This window comes from Homo sapiens, chromosome Y, assembly GCF_000001405.40.
Source record: "Homo sapiens chromosome Y, GRCh38.p14 Primary Assembly".
Lineage (NCBI taxonomy): Eukaryota > Metazoa > Chordata > Mammalia > Primates > Hominidae > Homo > Homo sapiens.
In genome coordinates this window covers 9,736,286-9,758,815 of record NC_000024.10, presented here as the reverse complement: position 1 = coordinate 9,758,815, position 22,530 = coordinate 9,736,286, and the positions used below count along the sequence as shown (strand labels likewise).

The 22,530-nt window shown below is 46.3% G+C and overlaps 2 long non-coding RNA genes across 2 annotated transcripts in view; one reads left to right on the top strand and one right to left on the bottom strand.

Moving 5' to 3' along the window:
* TTTY1 (testis expressed transcript, Y-linked 1) overlaps positions 1–5,660 on the top strand; it is a 21,164-nt gene extending 15,504 nt beyond the window's left edge. The window contains exon 5 of the long non-coding RNA NR_001538.2: positions 5,403–5,660. This is a non-coding gene — a long non-coding RNA (testis expressed transcript, Y-linked 1). The remainder of the gene's footprint in view (positions 1–5,402) is intronic.
* TTTY2 (testis expressed transcript, Y-linked 2) lies at positions 340–22,530 on the bottom strand. The gene is made up of 8 exons (NR_001536.2): positions 22,326–22,530; positions 16,415–16,492; positions 13,852–13,938; positions 6,319–6,467; positions 5,470–5,626; positions 2,561–2,639; positions 2,243–2,440; positions 340–1,019 (listed from the first exon to the last, which is right to left on the bottom strand). It is a non-coding gene; the product is annotated as a testis expressed transcript, Y-linked 2 (long non-coding RNA).

Sequence of the window (22,530 nt, the reverse complement as noted above, 5' to 3'; positions counted from 1 at the left end):
AGCTTCTCAGGCTTTGTGGTCCTGCAGGAAGCCCCACCTGGGAGACAGCCACCCCAGGAACACAGGTGGGCTTTACCTAGAAATCACAGTGGGGCAAGTTTCACAATGACTCACCCCTGCAACATCTAGGCAGGCATTAGAAATTCTACACATATTTTAAATCATTAGGAATGCTTCAGTTTATTCCTGAGGCTGCCCTTGAGGTTTCTTGAGGCTGGCTTCTGTCTGCCCTCTCCTAGCATCATGGGACTGTCCCATGCATTTTACTTAGAAGACAGGTGAGAGTCCACTACCAATGCCCCTACATGGAGGTTTCCTCCCTCAATCCACAGGGACTTGTCACTAGGCAATGGCGGCATTTATTGTGACACTAGTCAGAACTCCCAAACAGGCCTTTTGCACTGAGAGTAGAGCATGCACATTTGCCAGGTAGATTCGGGCCCCTGGCTGTCAGAGTTGTCAGCCTGCCTAAGCAGAGGAAAATGATATAGACAGAGATGGCATGCTATCATGAAAAAGTCTGTCTGTGATAACCAAGTGCAGTACCGTAAAATTATTGACCATGGAGCCCCTTCACGATGACTCCATGGCTGGGAACCACTGAAGGAGGAGGCTTTTCCAAACTGAGGTGGTCTCTGAAGACTGCTCTTCTGACTCCATTCCTGAAAGAGGCTGTGTGCAAGAATCAGGTTCCATGGAGATTGGAATATAGTCTGGTGAGTTGTTGAGGGGATTTTATGTGATGGAATTATACCCGAGACCCCAGAGTCAGCTTTCAATGAATGGGGCTCGGCCCTTGACTTCATTGCCTCCTATCATCCTGGGCCTGGCAGGGGATCTATGAGAAAGGCAGGAACCACGACAAAGGCAGGTCCAAAGTCAAGCAGTATTCTTACATGTCGAACGGGTCTCTCACTCATGTAGATGATGTTGAAAAATGTTCACAGAAGGTGTCTGCGGAAATTGCAAGTCTGACAATCATGTCCACTAATGCTGTTGAGGGGCAATGTGGACCCAGCCTGAAAGGAAAGAAAAATCAAGGCTTGCTTGAGAGAAGGAGCTGGCTTGAGCTGGAGTATAAGAAACTTTCAAAGGTTCCTGTCAGAGGAACCAAAAGCCTCCTGAGAACTGCAAACAACCTCAGCTCTCACAATGAGACCACGAACCACAAGCTGGAAGGCAGCCAGCCTATGCAAAGTCATTTTTGCTTTCTGAAATCAGTGGCAGCAAAATCTGTATTTAGAGACATTCCCATCTAGCAACATTCAATGCTATATGCCCTCCACAATGAGACAAGACTTGCAGATGAAATAAAACAGAACATAGATTACCAGAAAAAAAGCTAGATACGTCTGTCTGCTTCTCATCCTACTGGAATTATGCAGCCTTTTGATAGAAATGGGAGAAGAACTGTTTCCCAAGGGCCAGACATGGTGGCTCATGCCTGTAATCCTAGAACTTTAGGAGGCTGAGGTGGGAGGATCATGAGGTCAGGAGATTGAGACCATCCTGGCTAAAATGGTGAAACCCCATCTCTACTAAAAATATAAAAAATTAGCCAGGAATGGTGGAAGGCTCCTGTAGTCCCAGATACTCGGGAGGCTGAGGCAGGAGAATGGTGTGAACCCAGAAGGCAGAGCTTGCAGTGACTGGAGATCATGCCACTGCACTGCAGCCTGGGCAACAGAATGAGACTCTGTCTAAGGAAAAAAAGAAAAAGAATTTATTTGTTGGTGGCTGTAATGGGAATTTATGGTTTTAAAAGTATCACAACAGCTCTGCCATTAAAATGTGACAGTGTTTAGAAGGAAGCACTGATGAAATACATTCCCATGAGGGTCATCCTCTGTGAACCAGGAAACGTTTATTGTGAAAGACATTTAGCCAGACCCAGGAAATTCTGGGCCAATGAAGAACACGAAAGTGAGGAAAAGAAGAGGCAAGTGTGGAGACCATATCCCACACAGCATCATTCCATCCCACTCCCCCTTGGCTCCCTGTACAAAAGCCCTCCAATAGGGAATGTGCCAGCATTGCCAAAGTTTGCACTAACATTGTTTCCTGCCACTTGGAGTAGTCACACCAGAACACAGGGCCATGGTGTGGAATCCTTTTGCAATTAAGGGAATGCTTAAATGCAGTTGGAAGCACCTTCTGTGTCATCTGTTTTTACCATTTCTGCAGGTGAAGGTGTGGGACCCCATCCACCCTTCACCAGATTGCATCCTCACCCGCATCTTACCTTATTGCTGCTCAAACTCTGTGTCCCAGAATGAAATCCCAGGATGATGGAGGATTGCCCCCTCACAACGTGAAGCAGCTGCTCAGCTGGAAACTGAATTCAAGGTTAATTCAAGGAGCTCTGCAACATGACTGGTAGTGTTGATTTTTGGGTTGACTTCAGGACAATAAAACATTCTCCAGGAATCATGCAGCTTTTCTATAGAAGTGAGAGAACAAGAGTTTCCTTGTTTGTGGCTGTTGCATGAATTTACAGTTTTAAAAGTATCACAGCTGCCCAGTCATTAAAACATGGCAGTGTTTAGGGGGAAATACTCACACAATAGAATCCCATGAGGATCATTTTCCATGAACTGGGGAATGTTGAGTTTAGAAGACGTTGAGCCAGACCAAGGAAACTACGCCAATGACGAACAAAGAAGTCAGGAAAAGATGAGGCAATTGTGGAAGCTGCATCCCACCCAGTATCAATCCATCCCACTCACATTTGGCTCTGCGTTTGAAAGCCCTCAAATTGAGAGTTTGCCAGGATGGCCCCAGTTTGCACTCCAAATGTTCCCTGTGTGTTAGAGTACTCCCACATGAAAATGGGGCCATAGTGTGGACAGCTTGTGATATTAAGGGAATACAAGGACAAGGATATAGTTGGAAATAACTTCTTTGTCATTTGTCTTCACCTTTTTTCAGGTGAAGGTGTAGGACCCCATCCACCCCTCACCAGATTGTATCCTCACCCCTATCTGACCTCACTGCTGCTCACACTCTCTGACCCAAAGTGAAACCCCAAGACAATGGATTAGTGCCTCCGTACAAGGTGAAGCACCTACTCAGGTGGGAATCAAATTTGAGGTAAATTCAAGGGGCCCTGTGAACAGTGCTACTGTCTATCACTGGGTTGGCTGCAGGATTAAAACACACTGGAAGATGTCTGTTCTTGAATGTGGTGTGCTCCTCTTCTTTGTAGAAGAGAGACTGTTTTTACAGGGAAAGGTGATTTGGACCTCTGCCAGCATCCCAATTCACAATAGATTCATTATCTACAGAAAAATAGAGAACATTGAGCCCTGCAGCCAAAACAGTGACACCAACAGGCCACCAAAATGTTAGGAGACTTGAAAAATGAAGTGCCACAGTGCGTTAGCCAGATTTTTTTTAAGCAGACTCCATGTACAGGCACACACACACAAACAAAAAAACACCGAAAGCCACACACACACAAGCAGACATCCAGCACTCCCAATGCTCCCATAGCAACACTCAGCCCTGCAGCTTCTGGGTTGTGTGGTTCTGCAGGAAGCTCCACCTGGGAGAGGGCAGCCATGGGGAAAACAGGCTCTACATAGAAATCAGAGTAGGGCAAGTTTCCAAAAGACTCACCCCTACAACGTCTAGGCAGGCCTAAGGCATTCTGCAGATATTTTTGGATCCTTAGGGATTTCAGGGCTTATTCCTGGCTCTGATTGATGTTTTTTTTTCAGTTTGGTTCACCTCTGCCCTCTCCTGGGATCATGGGACTATACTGTGAATCCCACAGAGATGGCAGGCGAAATTCCAACACCAATACCCACCCCCCGCCCCCACGAAATTCTCCTTTTCCGCCAAGCCATAGGGACTTGTCAGTAGTCAATGGTGGCATTGACTGTGACGCTAGCCATAGTGCACATCTCATGCCTGGTGCCCTGATACTAGCACATATCCCTTCATGAGGCAGGTTGTTGTGCCTGGCTCTAGGAGATGTCAGCCTGCCTAAACAGAGGAAAATGGTACAGACAGAGCTGATCTGGTGTCAGAAATAATGCTGCCTGTGATAATTCACTGTGGGACTCTAAACTTTTGAGCTTAGGGCATCTTTGGGCCATCTCTGGGTCGTTCCCTCTGGAGGAGGAGACATTTTGATACTGTGAGGTAGTCGCTGGAAAGTGCCCTTCTGACTCCATTCTTAAAAAAGGCTGTGTGCAGGAATCGTGTCCCATGGGTATTGAAATATAGTCTGGGGAATTGTTGAGAGGTCTTTGCATGATGGAATCATACCTGAGACCCCAGAGGCAGATGTCAGTGACAGACTACCAGGGCCTTGGCCTCACTGCCTCCCTTCATTTTGGGCCTCACAAGGTCTCTCTGGGAAAGGTAGGAACCACGACAAAGACAAATCCAGTGTGGAGCAGTGTTCTCACACATCGCACTGGCCTTTCATAGGTGCAGATGATGTTGGGACAGTGTCTCAAAGGTTGTCTGTGGTGATTGTAAGCCTGTAAAGAATGTCTATTAGCACTGTTGAGGAGAACTGTGGACCCCCCATGAAATGAAAGAAAAATCAAGACTCCCCTGATTGAATGAGGTTACTTGCCCTGGCATCCAGGCAATGTTCAAATATTCCTGTCAGAGAACCCAAAGCCTTCTACAAAGTGAAAACCACCTGAGCCTCCACAATGAGAAAACAACCCACAACCTGGAGTGTAGCCAGCCTACCTGAAGTTTCTATTTTTCCCTGTAATCCCTGGCAACCAATAGATCTTTGGCAAGAGGCACTCCCACCCAGCTATAGCACAGTGAAAGAAACCCTCCACAATGAGAAAGGATGGGCAGATCTAATAAAACAGATCCTAGATTACCAGAAAAAGCCACACAGGGCTGCCTCCTTCTCATCCTACAGGAATCATGCAGCTCTCCGATAGAAGTGGGAGAAACAGAGTTTCCTTCTTGGCCACTGGAATGTGAATTTATTGTTTTAAAATTATCACAGCTGCCCAGACATTAAACTGAGACAGTGCTTAGAAAGAAATAATCACACAATGGATCCCCATGAGATCATCCTTGTGAAGTGGAAATGCTTGTTATGGAAAACTTAGATCCAGACCCAGGAAACCTTAGGTCGATGAGGAACATGGAAGTCAGAATGCAAAGATGAAAGTGTGGAGGCCACATGCCACCAGCATCAATCCCTCCCAGTCCCATTTGGTTCTGGGTATGAAAGCCCTCAAATATGGAGTTAGCCAACTTGGCCCCAGTTTGTACTCCAAATGTCCCCTGCACGTTGGAGTACTCCCGCGTGAACACAGGGCCATGGTATGTGCGGCTTGTGCAACTAAGAGAATGCTGGGATGCAGTTGGAAGCAACTTCTGTGTTATCTGTCTTCTTTTTTTTTTTTCTTTTTTTGCAGGTGAAGGTACAGCATGGCATCCACCCCTCACCAGAGGGGTATCCCCACCCCTATCTGACCTTATTACCTTATTGCTGTTCAAAGTCTCTATCCCAGACTGAAATCCCAAGACAATGGAGAAGTTCCCCCTGATGATGTGAAGCACCAACTCCTCTGGGAATCAAATTCGAGGTAAATTTAATAGGCCCGGTAGAGATGAATGATAGTGTCTCTCCTTGGATTGGCTGAAAGACAATTAAACACTGGTATATTTCTGTTCTTGGTTGTGGTGTTCTTCTGTTCTTTCTAGAAGAGTGGCTTTTTTGGCAAAGGAAGGTGATTTGGACAGTGGTGTTTCTCAGCCAGCTTGCCAATTCACTGCAGATTCATGATCCTCAGAAAAATAAAGAATATGGATCCCAGCAGCCCAAGTAGACCCACACATACAGGCCACTACAATGTTTGGAGACTCAAAAAAAAAAAAAGAAAAAAGAATCACTGCAGTGCATTAGCCACATTCCTTTAAGCAGACTCCACTTAACAGGCACACACACACTCAATCACACATACACACTACCACATACATGCAGATTTCCAACATTTGCAACACTCTCACAAAAACACACAGCCCAGCAGCTTCTTAGGCTTCTTGGTTCTGCAGGAAGCCCTGCCTTTGAAAGAGCAACCCCAGGGAACACAGGCAGCCTGTGCCTAGAAATTACAGTATGGTAAGTTTTAAAAAGACTCATCCCGACAAAGTCTGGGAGGCTTGAGGCATCCTGCAGATTCTTTTGGATCTGTACGGATTTTGTGGCTTATTCCTGGGGCTGTGCTTGACTTTTCTTCAGGCTGACTCACCTGCTCCCTCTCCTTAGGCCCATGGGACTATCGTGGGAATCCCACAGGGAAGATAGGCGAGAGTCCACCGCTGACTCACCTCCACGGAGTTCTTATCCACAAAGTCACAGGGACTTATCCCTAGGCAATGGTGGCCTTCATTGTGATGCTAGCTGGAGCCCATAGCTCAGTCCTTGTGTCTAAGAGTATGCAGGCTTTCGTGATGGGCTGTCAGACCTGTCAGCCAGCCTAAAAAAAAAAGAAAAAAAAAGATACAGGAAGAGCCGGCACGGTATTGAAAAAAATGCTGCCTACAATAACTCAATGAGGGACCATAAATGTCTCAACTGTAGTGCCTCTACAAGTCATTCCTGTGGCCAGGTCCCACTGGAGAAGGAGGTGATTCGAGACTACGAGGTGGTCTTTGGAAAGTGTTACTCTGATTCCATTCCTGAAAGGCTGTGTGCAAGAGTCTGGACAGATGGAGGTTAGAATATATTCTGGTGAGTTGTTGAGGGCTCTTTGGGTGGTGGAATCATACCTGAGAGACCAGAGGTGGGTGTCATCAAAAGATGGCTGGGCTCTTGACCTCACTGCCTCCCTTCATGCTGGGCCTTGCAGAGGCCCTCTGGGAAAGGAAGGAACCACGAAAAAAGCAAGTCCAAGGCAGAGCAGTGTTCTCTGACCTCGAGCTGACCCCTAACGGATTCAGATGAGGTTGAGACAGTGTCTCAGAGCCCGTCTGTGATGAATGCAAGCCTAAAAAGGGTTTCCAGTAATGCTGTTGAGGGGCACTGTGGACCCAAGATGAAAGCAAAGAAAATTCAAGGCCTGCCTGAGAGAACCACCTGACTTGTGCTGGAGTCCAAGTAACATTCAAAGATTTCTGTCACAGGACCCTAAATCCTCCTGCAAATTGCAAACAGCCTCAGCTGCAACAATGAGACCATGACCCACAAGCTGGAGCTCAGCCAGCCTGCCTAAATTCCCTTTTGCTTTCAGAAATCCCTGGCAGCCAAAAGATTTGTGGTGAGTGGCACCCCCATCCAGAAACAGCCCAATGAAAGATCCCCTCCACAATAAGAAAGGACATATAGATGAAATGAAATAGAGTCTAGATTTCCAGGCAAAAGACAGAAATGCCTGCCTGTTTCTCATCCTAGAGAAACTGTGTAGCCCTCTGATAGAAGTGGGAGAACAAGAGTTTCCTTGTTGGTGGCTGCAACGGGAATTTACAGTTCTAAAAGTATCACAACTCTCCAGTCATTAAAACGTGACAGTGTTTAGAAGGAAACATTCACTCAATGAATTCCCATGAGGGTCGTCCTCCATGAACTGGGAACATTTAGTTTGGAAGAAATTGAGCCAGACCAAGGAAACCCTATGCTGAAAAGGAACACGGAAGTCAAGAAAACAAGAGGCAAGTGTGGAGGCCACATGCCACCCAGTATCTATCGATTGCCCTCCCATTATGCTTCAGATATAAAAGCCCTCAAATTGGGAGATTGTGAGGATGGCCCCAGTTTGCACTCCAAATATTCCCTGAACGTTGGAGTACTCCCACCTGAACAATGGGGATTGTGTGGACTGCTTTTGCAACTAAAGGAATTTGGCAATGCAGTTGGAAACACCTTCTGTGTCATCTGTTTTAAACTTTTTTGCAAGCTAAGGTGTGGGACCCCATACACCCCTCAGCAGATTGTATCCTCACCCCTAACTGTTCTTTTTGCTGCTCACACTCTCTGTTCCAGAAAAAAAATCCCAAAACGATGGAGGAGTTGCCCCTCATGACATGTAGAACCTGCTCTCCTGGGAACCAAATTCTAGGTAAATTCAAAGGGTCTTGTGAACAACACTGCTATTGTCTCTCCCTGGGATGGCCACAGAACAATGAAAAACATTGTGATGTCTATTCTTAGGTGTGGTTTTCTCCTGTTCTTTCCTGAAGAGTGACACTTTTGCAGGTGGAGGGGACTTGGACCCTAGCAGGTCATAGCCAGCCTCTCAATTAACTGCATTCATGATCCACAGAAAAATAAAGAACACACATACCAAGTAAAACAGCAGAGACAAGTCACCAAAATTTTTGGAGACTCAAAAAAAATGCTATAGTGCAATAGCTACATTCCTTTAAGCAGACTCCACTTACAGACACACACATGCACACACACACAAACACACAATGCCACAAACACACATGCAGATTTTGAACATTTGCAACACTCCCACAGAAACATACAGCCTGGTCTCGCCTGAAGCTGTGTGGTTCTGCAGGAAACCCCACATGGCATAGAGCAACAATGCACAACACAAGGGGGGCTGTAACTAGAAATCACAGTGGGGCAAGTTTCAAAAACACACCCCTACAATGTCTAGGCAGGCCTGAGGAATCCACTTCTGCCCTCTCCTAGGATTGTGGGACTATGCCATGGATTTCACAGAGAATAAAAGCAGAGTCCACTGCAGATGCACCCCCATGAAGGTCTCCTTTTTCCACCAAGCCTCAGGGCCTTGTTGCTAGGCAATGATAACATTCATTGTGATGCTCAAAAGAGCTCACAATCAGGTCTGGTGCCCCAAGACTAGTGCAAACACATTCATGAGTTAGGTTCACTTACCTGGCTGTCAGAGCTGTTAGCCTGCCTAACCAAGGAAAATGGTACAGGCAGAACCTGCCTGGTATCAGAAAAAAAGCAGCCTGTGAAAACCCATTGCTGGACCCAAAAAAGTCTCCATCTCTGGGCCCCTTCGTCCGTCTCTGTGATCGGGTCCCATTGGAGGAGAAGGCATTTTGAGATTGTGAGGTGGTCTCTGGAAACTGCTGTTCTGACTCCATTCCCAAAAGAGAATGTGTGTCAGAATCAGGTCCCATGGAAATTGGTTTATAGTCTGGCGTGCTGTTGAGGGGTTTTTGGGTGATAGAATCAGACTTTGTTGAGGGTTTTTTGGGTAAAAGAATCATACTTGAAACCCCAGAGGCGGCACTTGACCTGTTCTTACACCTCAGACTGGCCTCTCAAGGGCACAGATGACATTGAAACAGTGTCTCAGATGTCATCTGTGGTGATGGCAAGGGTGAACAGTATGTGCAGTAGTGCAGTTGGGGGACACTGTGGATCCCCCATGAAAGCAAAGAAAAATCTAGGCTCGCATGAGAGAACAAGCTGCCTTGTGCTGGAGTACAGGCAATGTTCAACGATTCCTGTCTGAGGACGCAAAAGCCTCCCACAAAGTGCAAAGAACCTCAGCCCCCAGAACGAGACAACAATCACAACATGGAGCCCATCCAGCATACACAAAGTCCCTTTTGCTGTCTAAAATTCCTGGCAGTTAATTAAACTGTAGAGAGAGGGAGTCCCATCCAGGAACAGCCCAAAGAAACAGCCCTCCCACAATGAGAAGGCCGTGAAGATGAAATAAAATAGAGACTAGATTACCAGGCAAAAGCTAGACATGTTTGCCTGCTTCTTATCCTTCAGAAATCGTGCAGCTTTCTGATGCAAGTGGGAGAACAAGGGTTTCTTTGTTGGTGACTGTAATACAAATTTACAGTTTTAAAAATATTAAAGCTGTGCAGTCATTAAAATGTGACAATGCTTAGAAACCAACACTCACACAATGGATTCCAGTGAGGGTCATTCTTCATGAACTGGGAAATGTTTAGTGTGGAAGTTGTTGAGCCAGACCCAGGAAACCCTAGGCCAATGAGGCGCATGGAAGAAAGGAAAAGAAGAGGCAAGTGTGAAGGCCACATGCCACCCAGCATCAATACATTGCACTCCCATTTGCCTCCGTGTATGAAAGACCTCAAATCCAGAGTTTGCCAGGATGGTCCCAACTGGCACTTCCAATATTCCTTGCACATTGCAGAACTCCCACCTGAACATTGGGGCCATGGTGTGGACTGTTTGTGCAATTAATTAAATGTGAGTACAGACGTAGAATCACCTCCTGCATCAATTGTCTTCATTTTTATTGCATGGGAAGTTGTGGGACCCCTTCCACCCCTCATCTAATTGTATCCTCACTCCAGTCTCACCTTATTCCTTCTCACACTCAATGTCCCAGAATGAAAACCTAAGACAATGGAGAAGGGACCCTTCATGATTTGAAGCACCTGCATGGCTGGAAACTGAATTTGTGGTAAATTCAAGGGCACCTGCAGACAGGACTTTAATTGCCTCTCCCTGGGTTGGAAGCAGGGCAATGAAATGTGGCAGATGTCAATTTTTCCACTTTTTGTGGTGTGGTGTGTCCTTCTTCTTTCTAGAAAAGTGGACTTTTTTTTCAGGAGGAGGTGATTTGGATGCCAGTGGATCCTTGCCCGCCTCCCAATTCACTGCGGATTCACGATACACAGAAAATTTAAAAACATGGAGCCCCGCAAGCCAAGCAGAGCCACACATAAAGGCCAAACAGAAGGTTTGGAGACACAGAAAAAGAAGCAGTGAAGTGTGATAGCCACATTTCTTTAAGCAGACTGCACATACAAGCACAAACACAGAGACACACAATCACACAATGCCACACACATACACAGACTTTCAACACTCACAACACTCCCACAGAAACACACAGTCTGGCAGCCTCTGAGGTTGTGTGGTTCTGCAGGAAGCCACACCTGGCATAGAGCAACCCTGGGGAACACAGGCGAGCTGTAACTAGAAATCACATGGGGGCAAGTTTCAAAAAAACTCACACCTACATCTAGGCAGGCCTGAGGTAAACAGCAGATCCTTTTGGATTCCTAAAGATTTTGCAGTTTATTCCTGGGACTATGCTTTCATTTCCTCACACTGTCTCTCATCTGAAATCTCCTAGGATCATGGGACTATCCCGCGGATTCTGCAGAGAAGACAGGTGACAGTTCACCATGGACAAACCTCTACGGAGGTCTCCTTCTCTGACAGGAGGCAGGGACTTGTGGCTAGGCAGTGGTGATATTTTTGGGATGCTAGCCAGAGCTCACAGTCTGACCTGGAGAATAGTGCATGTGCATTCATGAAGCAGGCTCGGGCACCCAGCTCTTACAGCTGTCAGTCTGACTAGCAGAGAAAAATGGTAGAGGCAGAGCTGGCATACTATCAGAAAAAATGCTGCCTGTGAAAACCCACTGTGGGTCCCCAAAAGTCTCAACCTCAGGGCCCCTTCAGGCAGCCTCTGTGGTCGGGTCCCACTGGAGGAGGATGCATTTCAAGACTGTGAGGTTGTCACTGGAATCCACTCTTCCAGCTTCATTCCCATAGGAGGCTGTGTGCCAGAATCGAATACGATGGGGTGTCAGTGAAAGATGGCCAGGCTTTTGACCTCACTGTCTCCCTTCATCCTGGGCCTTGCAGGGATTCTTTGAGAAAGGAAGGAACCATGAAAAAGCCAAGTCCAATGTGAAACAGTACTTTGGACTGGCCTCTCATGGGTGCAGATAAAATTGAGACCATGTCTCAGAGGTTGTCTGTGGCAATGGCAAGCCTGAGAAGAGTGTCCAGTGGTGCTATTGAGGGGCACTGTGGATTCAACATGAAAACAAAGAAAAATCAATGCTCACCAGAGAGAATGGGCTGCCTTGTGATGGAGCCCAGAAATTTTCAATATTTCCTGTCAGAGGACCCAAAACCCTGCTGCAAAGTGCTAACAACCTCAGTCACCACAATGAGAAAATGACCCAAAACCTATAGTGCAGCCAGCCTACCCAAAGACCTTTTTGCTTTATGAAATCCCTGGCAGCTAAATAATTTGTGGTGAAAAGCAGTCCAATCCAGCAGCAGCCCAATAAAAAATCACTTCCACAATCAGAAGGTGGTGCAGATGAGATGAAACAAATGCTGGATTACTGGGCAAAAGCCAGACATGGCTGCCTGATTTTCATTCTTCAGGAATCATGCAGCCCTCCAATAGAAGAGGGAGAACAGGAGTTTTCTTGCTGGCAGCTGTAATGGGAATTTATTGTTTTAAAAGTATCTAAGATGCCCAGTCATTAAAACATGACTGTTTAGAAGGAAACACTCATGCAATGGATTCCCATGAGGGTGATTCTCTGTGAACTGGGAAATGTTTAGTGTGGAAGTCATCGAGCCAGTCACAGTAAACCCTCAGCCAATGATGGACATGGAAGTCAGGAAAAGAAGAGGCAAGTTTAGGGGTCACATTGCACACAGCATTAATGCATTCCACCCCCATTTGGCTGAGATATGAAAGCTCTCATGTGAGAAGTTTGCCAGAATGGCCCCAATTTGTATACCAAGTGTCCCTTGAAGGTTGAAGTAATTCCACCTGAAACCAGGACATGGTGTGGACAATTCCTTTGCAGGTGAAATTGTGGGACTCTATCCACCCCTCAGTAGATTATATACTCACCTCTATCTGACCTTATTGCTGCTCACATTCTATTTCACAGGATGAAATCCCAAGACAATAGAAGTGTGTCCCTTCATGATGTGAAGCATCTGATTGAATTCGAGGTAAATTCAAGGGGCCTTGAAGACAGGATGACTAGTGTCTCTCCCTGATTTGGCCACAGGATGAGAAAACACTGGGATATGTTTGTTTGTGTGTGTGTGTGGTGTGCTCCTCTTCTTTCTAGAGAGGGCCTTTTTTTATTTCAAGGGGAGGTAATTTGGATGCCGGGGGGTCTCAGGCCACCTCCCAGTTCACCATGGATTCATGATCAACAGAAAAATAGAGAACATGGAGCCCTGCAGCTCCAGCAGAGCCACACAAGCCAACAAAAGATAGGAGTCTCAAAAAAAAAAGAAATGCTGGAGTGTGTTAGCCCCATTCCTTTAAGCTGACTCCACTTACAGGCAAACACACACAGACACAAACACACATGCAGACATCCAACACTTGCAACACTCCTACAGAAACACACAGCCCAGCAGCTCTAGAGGCTGTGTGGTTCTTCATGAAACCCCACCTGGGAGACATCAATCCTGGGGAACAACTGGGGGCTGTATCTAGAAATCACAGTGGGGCAGTTTCTGGAAGACTAATTTCTACAATATCTTGGTGGAACTGAGAAATCCTGCAAATACTTTTGGATCTTTGGGGATTTCACAGTTTATTCCTTGGGCTATGCTTGAATTTTTTCAGGCTGGCTCATGCCTGCCCTCTCCTAGGATCATGTGTCTATCCCATGGATCCCACAGAGAAAACAAGCAAGAGTACAACACCACTGCACCTTCACAGAGGCCTGTTTCTCAGCTAAGTAGCAGGGACTTGTCACTAGGCCACGGTGACATTTAATGTGATGCTAGCCAAAGCTCACAATCAGGCCTGGTGCCCTGAGACAAGCATGTGCATATTCGTGATGTCAGCGTAGGAACTTGTCTGTCAGAGCTGTCAGCCTGCCTTAGCAGAAAAAAATGGTACAGGCAGAGCCAGGTTGGTATCATGAAAAAGGCTGCTGGCAAAAATCCACTGTGGGATATTAAGAGTCTCAACCTCAGGAATGCTTTGGGCCATCTCCGTTGTCAGGTTTCTCTGGAGAAGGAGGTGTTTCATGACTGTGAGTGAGTCTCTGGAAACTGCCCTTCTGACTCCATTCTGAAAAGAGGCTGTGTAAGAATCAGGTCGCTTGGGGATTGGAATATAGTCTGGTATGTTGTTGAGGGTTATTTTGGTGATAGGAACTTACCTGAGAACCCAGAAGTGGGTGTCAGTGAAAGATGGCTGGGCTCTTGACCTCACTGTCTCCCTTCATCCTGGTCCTTGCAGGGCCTCTCTGCAAAAGGCAGGAACCACGACAAAGGATAGTCCACAGTAAAGCAGTGTGCTGACACCTGGGGCTCACAACTCACAGGTGCAGATGAGGTTGAGACAGTGTCTAAGAGGCTGTTTGTGGTGATGGTAAGCCTGAAAATGGTGTCCAGTACTACTGTTGAGGGGCAATGTGGATTCCCCATGAAAGCAAAGAAAAATCAATGCTCACCTGAAAGAATGAGCTACCTTGTGATGGAGTCCAAGCAATGTTCAATGACTCATATCAGAGGGCTCAAAAGCCTCTGACAAAGTGCAAACAATCTCAGTCCCCACAACAGGACAATGACACACAACCTGGACTCAGCCAGCCTACCTGAGGTCACTTTGGTTCTCAGAAATCTTTGGCAACCAAATAATCTGTGGCAAGAGGCCGTTCCATCCAGCAACAGCCCAATGAAAGAGCCCCTCCGCAATGAGACTGCAGTGCAGAAGAAATAAAACAGAGGCTAGATTACCAGACAAAAGCCAGAAATGGCTGCCTGCTTCTCATCCTACAGGAATCCTGTAACCCTCTGGTAGAAGTGGGAGAAACAAGAGTTTCCTTATTGGTGGCAGTAATGGGAATTTATGGTTTTAAAAGTATCAAAGCTCCCCAGTCATTACAACCTGATAGTGTTTAGAAGGAAACATTCATGCAATGAATTCTCATGGGGGTTGTTCTTCATGAACTGGGAAATGTTTAGTGTGGAAGTCGTTGAGCCAGACCCAGGAAACCATATGCTCATGAGAAACATGAAAGTCAGGAAAAGAAGAGGCAAGTCTGGAGGCCACATCCCACCCAGCATCAATCCATTCCACCTCCATTTGACTCCAGGTAAGAAAGCCCTCAAATCTGGAGTTTGCCAGGACGGCCTCAATTTGCACTCCAAATGGTCTTTTACTGTGGAGTACTCCCAACTGAACAGTGGGCCATGGTGTGGAATGCTGGTGCTTAAAGTAATGTGGAAATGGAGTTGAAAGCTCCTTGTTTGTCATCAGTATTCATATTTTTTTACAGGTGGGGTTGCAGAACCCCATCCAACCCTTACTAGATTGTATCCACACCCCTATCTGACTTTATTTCTGCTTACACTCTATTTCTCAGGATGAAATCCCAAGATGATGGAGGCTTTCCCCCTTATGACATGAAGCACCTGCTTGGCTGACAACTGAATTCGAGGTTAATTCAAGGGGCCCTGTGGACAGGACTGACAGTGTCTCTCCTTGGGTTTGCCTCAAGATAATGAAAAACTAGGAGTTGTCTGTTTTTGGTGTGGTTTGCTCCTCTTCTTTCTAGAAGAGTGGCTTTTTTCACAGGGGTGGTGATTTGGATGCCGGGGTATCTCAGCTGCCATTGAATTCACTGTGGATTCATGATCCACAGGAAAATGAAGAACATGGAGCCCCAAACCCCAAGCAGAGCCACATAGACTGGCCACAAAAAGGTTGGAAAACTAAAAAAAAAGAAGCACTGATGTGTGTTAGCCATATTCCTTTAAGCAGACTGCACTTAAAAGCACACACACACAGACACACACCAACAAGCACACAATGCCACACACACATGCAGACATCCAACACTTGCAACAGTCCCACAGAAACACACAGCCTGGCAGCTCCTGATGCTCAGTGGTTCTGTAGGAAGCCCCACCTTGGAGTGAGCAACCTCGGAGAACAGAAGAAGGATGTACCTAAAAATCACCTAGGGGCACTTTTCAAAAATTCTCACCCCTACAGCATTTAGGCAGGCCTAATGAATCCTGCATATCATTTTGGATTATTAAGGATTTTGCAGTTTATTTCTGGGGCTCTGCTTGAGGTTTCTTCAGGCTGAATCATGTCTGCCCTTTCCTACATTCATGGGACTATTACATGTTGCTGGCAATGGTGACGTTCATTATGGTGCTAGCCAAAGCTCACTTTCAGGCCTGGTGCTCTGAGAGTGGTGCTTGCTTGTTCATGAGACAGGTTGGGCACCAGGCTGTCAGAGCTGTCAGCCTGCCTAAGCAGAGGAAAAGGTTACAGGCAGAGATGGCCTATTGTCAGGAAAAAGGCTGCATATGAAAACCCTCTGCAGGACTGTTAATGTCTTGACCCCAGGGCCTCTTCCAGCTGTATCAGTGGTTTGGTCCTGCTGGAGGAGGAGGCAATTTGAGATTGTGATGGGGTCTTTGGAAACTGCTCTCTGACTCAATTTTCAAAAGAGGCTGTGTGGAAGAATCAGATAGCTATGGGGACTGGAAGATAGTCTGCAGATGAAGGGAAACAGAGCCTAGATTACAAGGCAAAAGCCAGACATGGCTGCCTGGTTCTCCTCCTTCACGAACCCTGCAGCCCTCTGATAACGGTGGGAGAACAAAAGTTTCCCTGTTGCTGGTTGTAATAGTAGTTTATGATTTTAAAAGTATCACAGAAACTCAGTCATTAAATCGTGACAGTGTTTACAAGTAAATACTCACACAATGCATTTTTATGATGGTCTTCTGTGAACAGGGAAGAGTTTAGTGTGGAAGATGTTGAGCCAGATCCAGGAAGCCCTACACCAATGAGGACAATGGAAGTCAGTAAAAGAGGACACAAATGTGGAGGCCACAACCCACCCAGCATCAATCTATTCCACTTCCATTTGACTACAGGTATTAAAACCCTCAAACCAGGAGTTTTCCAGATTGGCCACAATTTGCACTCCAAATTTTTCCTGCAGGTTGGAGTACTCCCACCTAAACACCAGGCCATGTTGTTGACTGATTTTGCAATTATGGGAATGTGGGGATGGAGTTGGAAGCACATTCTGTGTCATCTATTTTCACCCTTTTTGCTGGTGAAGGTACGGGACCCCATCCACCCTTCACCAGGTTGTATACTCACCCCTATCTGACCTTATTGCTGTCACACTCTCTGTACCAGCATGAAATCTCAAGATGATGGAGGATTGCACCCTCAGGACATGAAGCACCTACTTGGCTGGGAACTGAATTCTAGGTAAATTAAAGGGGCTATGCAGACCAGAGTGCTAGTGTCTGTGGGTTGGCTGCTTTATAATGCAACACTGGGAGATGTCTGTTCTTGGGTGTGGTGCTCTCCTCTTCTTTGTAGAAGAGTACCTGTTTTTTTGGCAGGGGCAGACGATGGGGAACCCGGCTGGTCACAGACAGCTTAACTAGTCATTGCTGATTCCTGATCCACAGAATTCATTTACATACACACACACAGACACATACACAAACACACAAAGCCACACACACATGCTGACATCCAACACTCGCAACACTCCCACAGTAACACACAGCCCAGTAGCTTCTGAGGCTGTGTCATTCTGCAGAAAGCCCCACCTGGGAGAGAGAAACTGCTGGGAACACAGGAAGGCTGAAGTTGGAAATTACAGTGGGACACATTTCAATAAGACTAACCCCTACAATGTCTAGGCAGGCCTGACAAATTCTGCAGATCCTTTTGGATCTGTAGTGATTTTGTGCTTCATTCCTGGGGCTCTGCTTGACATTTCTTCAGGCTGGCTCACATCTACCCTCTCCTAGGATCATGGAACTGTCCCATGGATCCCACAGAGAAGACAGGTGACAGTGCACCACCATTGTACCTCCACAGAGGTCTCCTTCTCTACCAAGCCAAAGGGAATTGTTACTAGCAAAGCTGGCATTCATTGTGACACTAGCTACAGCTCACAGCTCAGGTCCATTGCCCTAAGACTAGCACATCCACATATAGTGACTCAAACTGGAGCACCAGGGTGTCAGGGCTGTCAGCCTGCCTAAGCAGAGGAAAATGGTACAGGCAGAGCTGGCTTGGTATCAGGATAAAGGCTGCCTGTGATAACGCATTGCAGTACCCTAAAAGTCTCAAACTTAGGGCCCTTATATGCCATCTCCATGGTCAGATCACATGGGAGGCAGAGCCGTTTCAAGACTGTGAGGTTGTCTCTGGAAACTACTCTTCTGACTCCATTCCTGAAAGGGGTTTTGTGAAAGAATCATGCCCCATGAGGATTGAAATATATTCTGGTGAGATGTTGAGCAGTCTTTGGATGATGGACTTATACCTGAAATACCAGAAAAGGGTGTCAGCAAAAGATGGCCTGGCACTTGACCTCTCTGCACTCATTCATCCTGGGTTGGGTAGGTGCTATCTGGGAAAAGCAGGAACCAAGACAAAGGCAAGTCCAAATTGAAACAGTGTTCTCATACCTCAAACTGGCCTCTCACAGGTGCAGATGTGGTTCAAACAGTGTCTCAGAGGCCATCTGTGGTGATGGCAAGCCTGAAAAGTGTATCCAGTAGTGTGGTTGAGTGGCAATGTGAATCCCCCATGAAAGCCAAGAAACATCAAGCATCATCTGAAAGAACGAGCTGACTTGTGCTAGAGTCCAAGCAATGTACCAATATTCCTGTCACAGAAATAAAAAGCCTCTTTCAAAATGCAAACAACCTCAGACCCCACAACAAGACAATGACCTAAAACCCGATGTGCAGCCAGTCTACTCTATAACCATTTTGCTTCCTGAAATCCCTGGCAGCCAAAATATCTGTGGCAAGAGGCATACCCATCCATTAACAGCCCAATGAAAGAACCCATTCACAATGAGAAGGAGGAGCAGATGAAATGAAGCAGAGGCTAGATTACCAGGCAAAATCTAGACACAGCTACATGCTTCTCATAATACAAGAATCATGCAGCCCTCTGAGAGCAGAGGGAAAAGAAGAGTTTCATTGTTGGTGGCTGTAATGGGAATTTAGTTTTAAAAGCATCAAAGCTGCCCAGTTATTAAAACGTGACAGTGTTTAGAAGAAAACACTCACTCAGTGGATTCCCATGAGGGATGTTCTCCATGAACTCAGAAATGTTTAGTGTAACAGTTGTTCAGCCAAACCCAGGAAACCCCAGGCCAATGAGGAACATGCAAGTGAGGAAAAGAAGAGGCAAGTTTGGAGGCCACATCCCACCCAACATCAATTCATTCCACTCCCATTTGGCTCCGGGTTTGAAAGCCTTCAAATCAGAAGTTTGACAGGATGGGCCGGATTTGCACTCCAAATGTTCCTTTCACATTGCAGTGCTCCAACTTGAACCCACATTATGGTGTGGACTACTTGTGTAATTAAGGGAATGTGGGGGTTGAGTTGGAAGCACCTTCTGTGTCATCTGTCTTCATGTTTTTTTTGCAGGTGAAGTTGTGGGGCTTCATCCAACCTTCACCAGATTGTATCCTCACTCCTACCTGACCCTATTCCTGCTCACCCTGTATGTCCCAGGATAAATGCCCAGACGATGGAGGAGTGCCGTCTCATGACCAGAAGAACCTGCTTGGCAGTGAACTGAATTCTTGGTAAATTCAAGGGGCCATGAGGACAGGACTGACAGTGTCTCTTTCTTGGTTGGCCACAGGACAATGAAACACTGGCAGATGCCTGTTTTTTTTTTCTTTTTTTTTTTTTTTGTTTTGTTTTGTTTTGGTGTGGTGTGCTCCTCTTCATTCTAGAAGAGTGGCTTTTTTTGCTGTGGTAGGTGACTTGGATGCTGGTAGGTCTCAGCCCGGCCCCCAATTCACTGTGGATTCATGAGCCACAGGAAAATAAAGAACATGGAGCCCTGCGGCCCAAGCAGAGCCACACAGACAGGCCACCAAATTTGTGAGACTCAATTAAAAAAAGAAGCACCAAAGTGTGGTAGCCACATTCCTTAAGCAGACTCCACTTACAGGCACACACAAACACACACACACAAAAAACAAAGCCACACACCCATGCCAACATCCAACTCTCACAACACTCTTTCAGAAACAGTTTGTCAGCTCCTGTGGCTGTGTGGTTTTGCAAGAAGCTAATGTGGCATAGAGCAACCCCAGGCAATACAGGTGGCCTGCTCCTAGAAATCACAGTACTGCAAGTTTCAAAAAGACTCACACCTACAAAGTCTAGGCAGGCCTAAGGAATCCTTCCGATTTTTTTGGATCCTTAGGGATTTTGAGGTTTATTCCTAGTGCTGTGGTCGATGTTTCTTCAGGCTGGCTCTCATTTGCCCTCTCCTAGGCTCATGGGACTATCCTGTGGTTTCCACAGAGAAGACAGGCAAGAGTTCACCAACCACGCAGCTCCACGTAGGCCTTTTTCTCTGCAAAGATGAAGGGACTTGTTGCTAGGCAACAATGACATTCATTGGGATGCTCACTAAAGCTCAATATCAGTCCTGGTGCCCTGAGACTTGTGCATGCACATTCGTGAGGCAGGCCCAGGTGCCTGGCCATCAGACCTGTCAGTCTGCCCAAGCAGAGGAAAATAATACAGGCAGAGCCAGACTGGTATTGGGAAAAATGCTGCCTGTGAAAACCCACTGCAGGATCCTAAAACTCTCAACCTAAGGCCGCCCCTTTCTGGCCACCTCTCTGGTCAGGTCCTACTGGAGGGAGAGGCATTTCCAGACTGTGAGGTGGTCACTGGAAACTGCTCTTCTGAATCCATTCCCAAAAGAGGCTGTGTGCCAGAAATGGGTCCCATGGTGATTGGAAAATTGTCTGGTGTGTCGTTGAGGGTTCTTTAAGTGATAGAATCATACCTGAGACCCCAGGTGTGAATGTCAAAGAAAGACAGCCTGGCTCTTGACCTCATTGCCTCCCTTTATTTTGGGCCTTGCAGGGGCCCTCTGGGAAAAGCAGGAACAACAACAAAGGCAAGTCCAAGGTAGAGCAGTGTTCTCATAGCTCATACTGGCCTCTCACAGGTGCTGATGAGATTCAGTGTCTCAGAGGACATCTGCAGTGATGGCGAGTCTAAAAAGGGTGTCCATTAGTGCTGTTGAGGGGCACTGTTGAATCCCAGTGAAAGCAAAAAAAAAATAAAAAATAAAAATATGAAGGCTTGCCTGAGAGAACAAGCTGCTTTGTGCAGGAGTTCAAGCTTTGTTGAATAATTCCTGTCAGAGGACCCAAAATCCTCCTGGAAAATGCAAACAACCTCAGCTCCCACTATGAGACAAGCATCACAACCTGGAGTGCAGCCAGCCTAACCAAAGTCCCTTTTGCTCTCTGAAATCCCTGGCAGCCAAACAGAGGCTAGATTACAAGACCAAGGCAGACACGGCTGTCAGCTTCTCACTTTTCAGGTATCATGCATCTCTCTGATAGTAGTGGGTGAACACGAGTTTCCTTATGGCAGCTGTAACAGGAATTTATCGTTTTAACAAATTCAAAGCCATGCAGTCATTAACACATGACAGCGTTTAGAAAGAAAAATTAATGCAATGGATTTTCATAAGTCCCATTCTCCATGAATTCTGAAATGTTTAATGTGGAAGTCGTTGAGCCAGACCCAGGAAACCCTAGGCCTATAAGGAACATGGAAGTCAGGAAAAGAAGAGGCCATTGTGGAAGCCACATCCCAGACATCATCAATCTATTCTACTCACATTTGACTCTGGGTATAAAAGGCCTCAAATCCAGAGTTTGCCAAGATGGCCCCAATTTGCAGTCCAAATGTTTTTTGCACATTAGAGTACTCCCACCTGAACACTGGGCCAAGGTGCAGACAGATTGTGCAATTAAGAAAATGAGGGGATGGAGTTTGAAGAACTATCTTTGTTACCTGTCTTCATTATTTTTTTTTTTTGCAGATGAAGTTGCAGAACCCCATCCACTCCTCACCAGATTTTATCCTCACCCCTATCTGAACTTTTCCCTGTTCACATTCTAGGTCCAAGGATGATATCCCAAGATGATAGAGGAGTTCCCCATCATGACATGAAGCACATGCTCAGCTGGGAGCCAAATTCTATGTAAATTCAAGGGGTCCTGCATACAGGACTGCTAGTGTTTCTTTCTGGGTTGGCCACAGAACACTGAAACACTGGGAGATGTCTGTTTTTTGGTGTGGTGTGCTTCTCTTCTTTCTAGAAGTGTGTTGTTTTTTTGTGTGTGTGTGTTTTTTTGTTTGTTTGTTTTTGCAGGGGGAGGTGATTTGGACATTGGCGGGTCCCAGCCCACATCCTAATTTACTGCAGATTCATGATCCACAGAAAAAAAATAACACAAAGCCTCGCAGCCGAAGCAGAGCCACAGAGACAGGCCAACAAAAGGTTGGGAGATCCAAAAAAATGAAGCTCTGGAGTGTGTTTGCCACATTCCTTTAAGTAGACTCAACTTACAGGCACACATAGACACACACAAACACACTCATACACAAATACACAATACCAAACACACACAGACATCCAACACTTGCAACACTCCTGAAGAAACACAGCACTTGGTAGCTTCTGAGGCTGCATGGTTTTGCTGGAATCCCCATTTGGGTGAAAGCAACCCGGGGGAACATGTGGGCTGTAACTAGAAATCATAGTGAAACAAGTTTCAAGAAAACTCACCCTTACATCATCTAGGCAGGCCTGAGGAATCTTGCGATCTTTTGGATCCTTAGGGGTTTTGCCGTTTATTCCTGGGGCTCTGTTTGATGTTTCTTTCAGCTGGCTCATGTCTGCCCTCTTGTAGGATCATGAGACTGTCCCAAGTATCCCACAGAGAAGACAGGCAAGAGTCCACAGCTGACATGCCTACAGCGAGGTCTCCTTC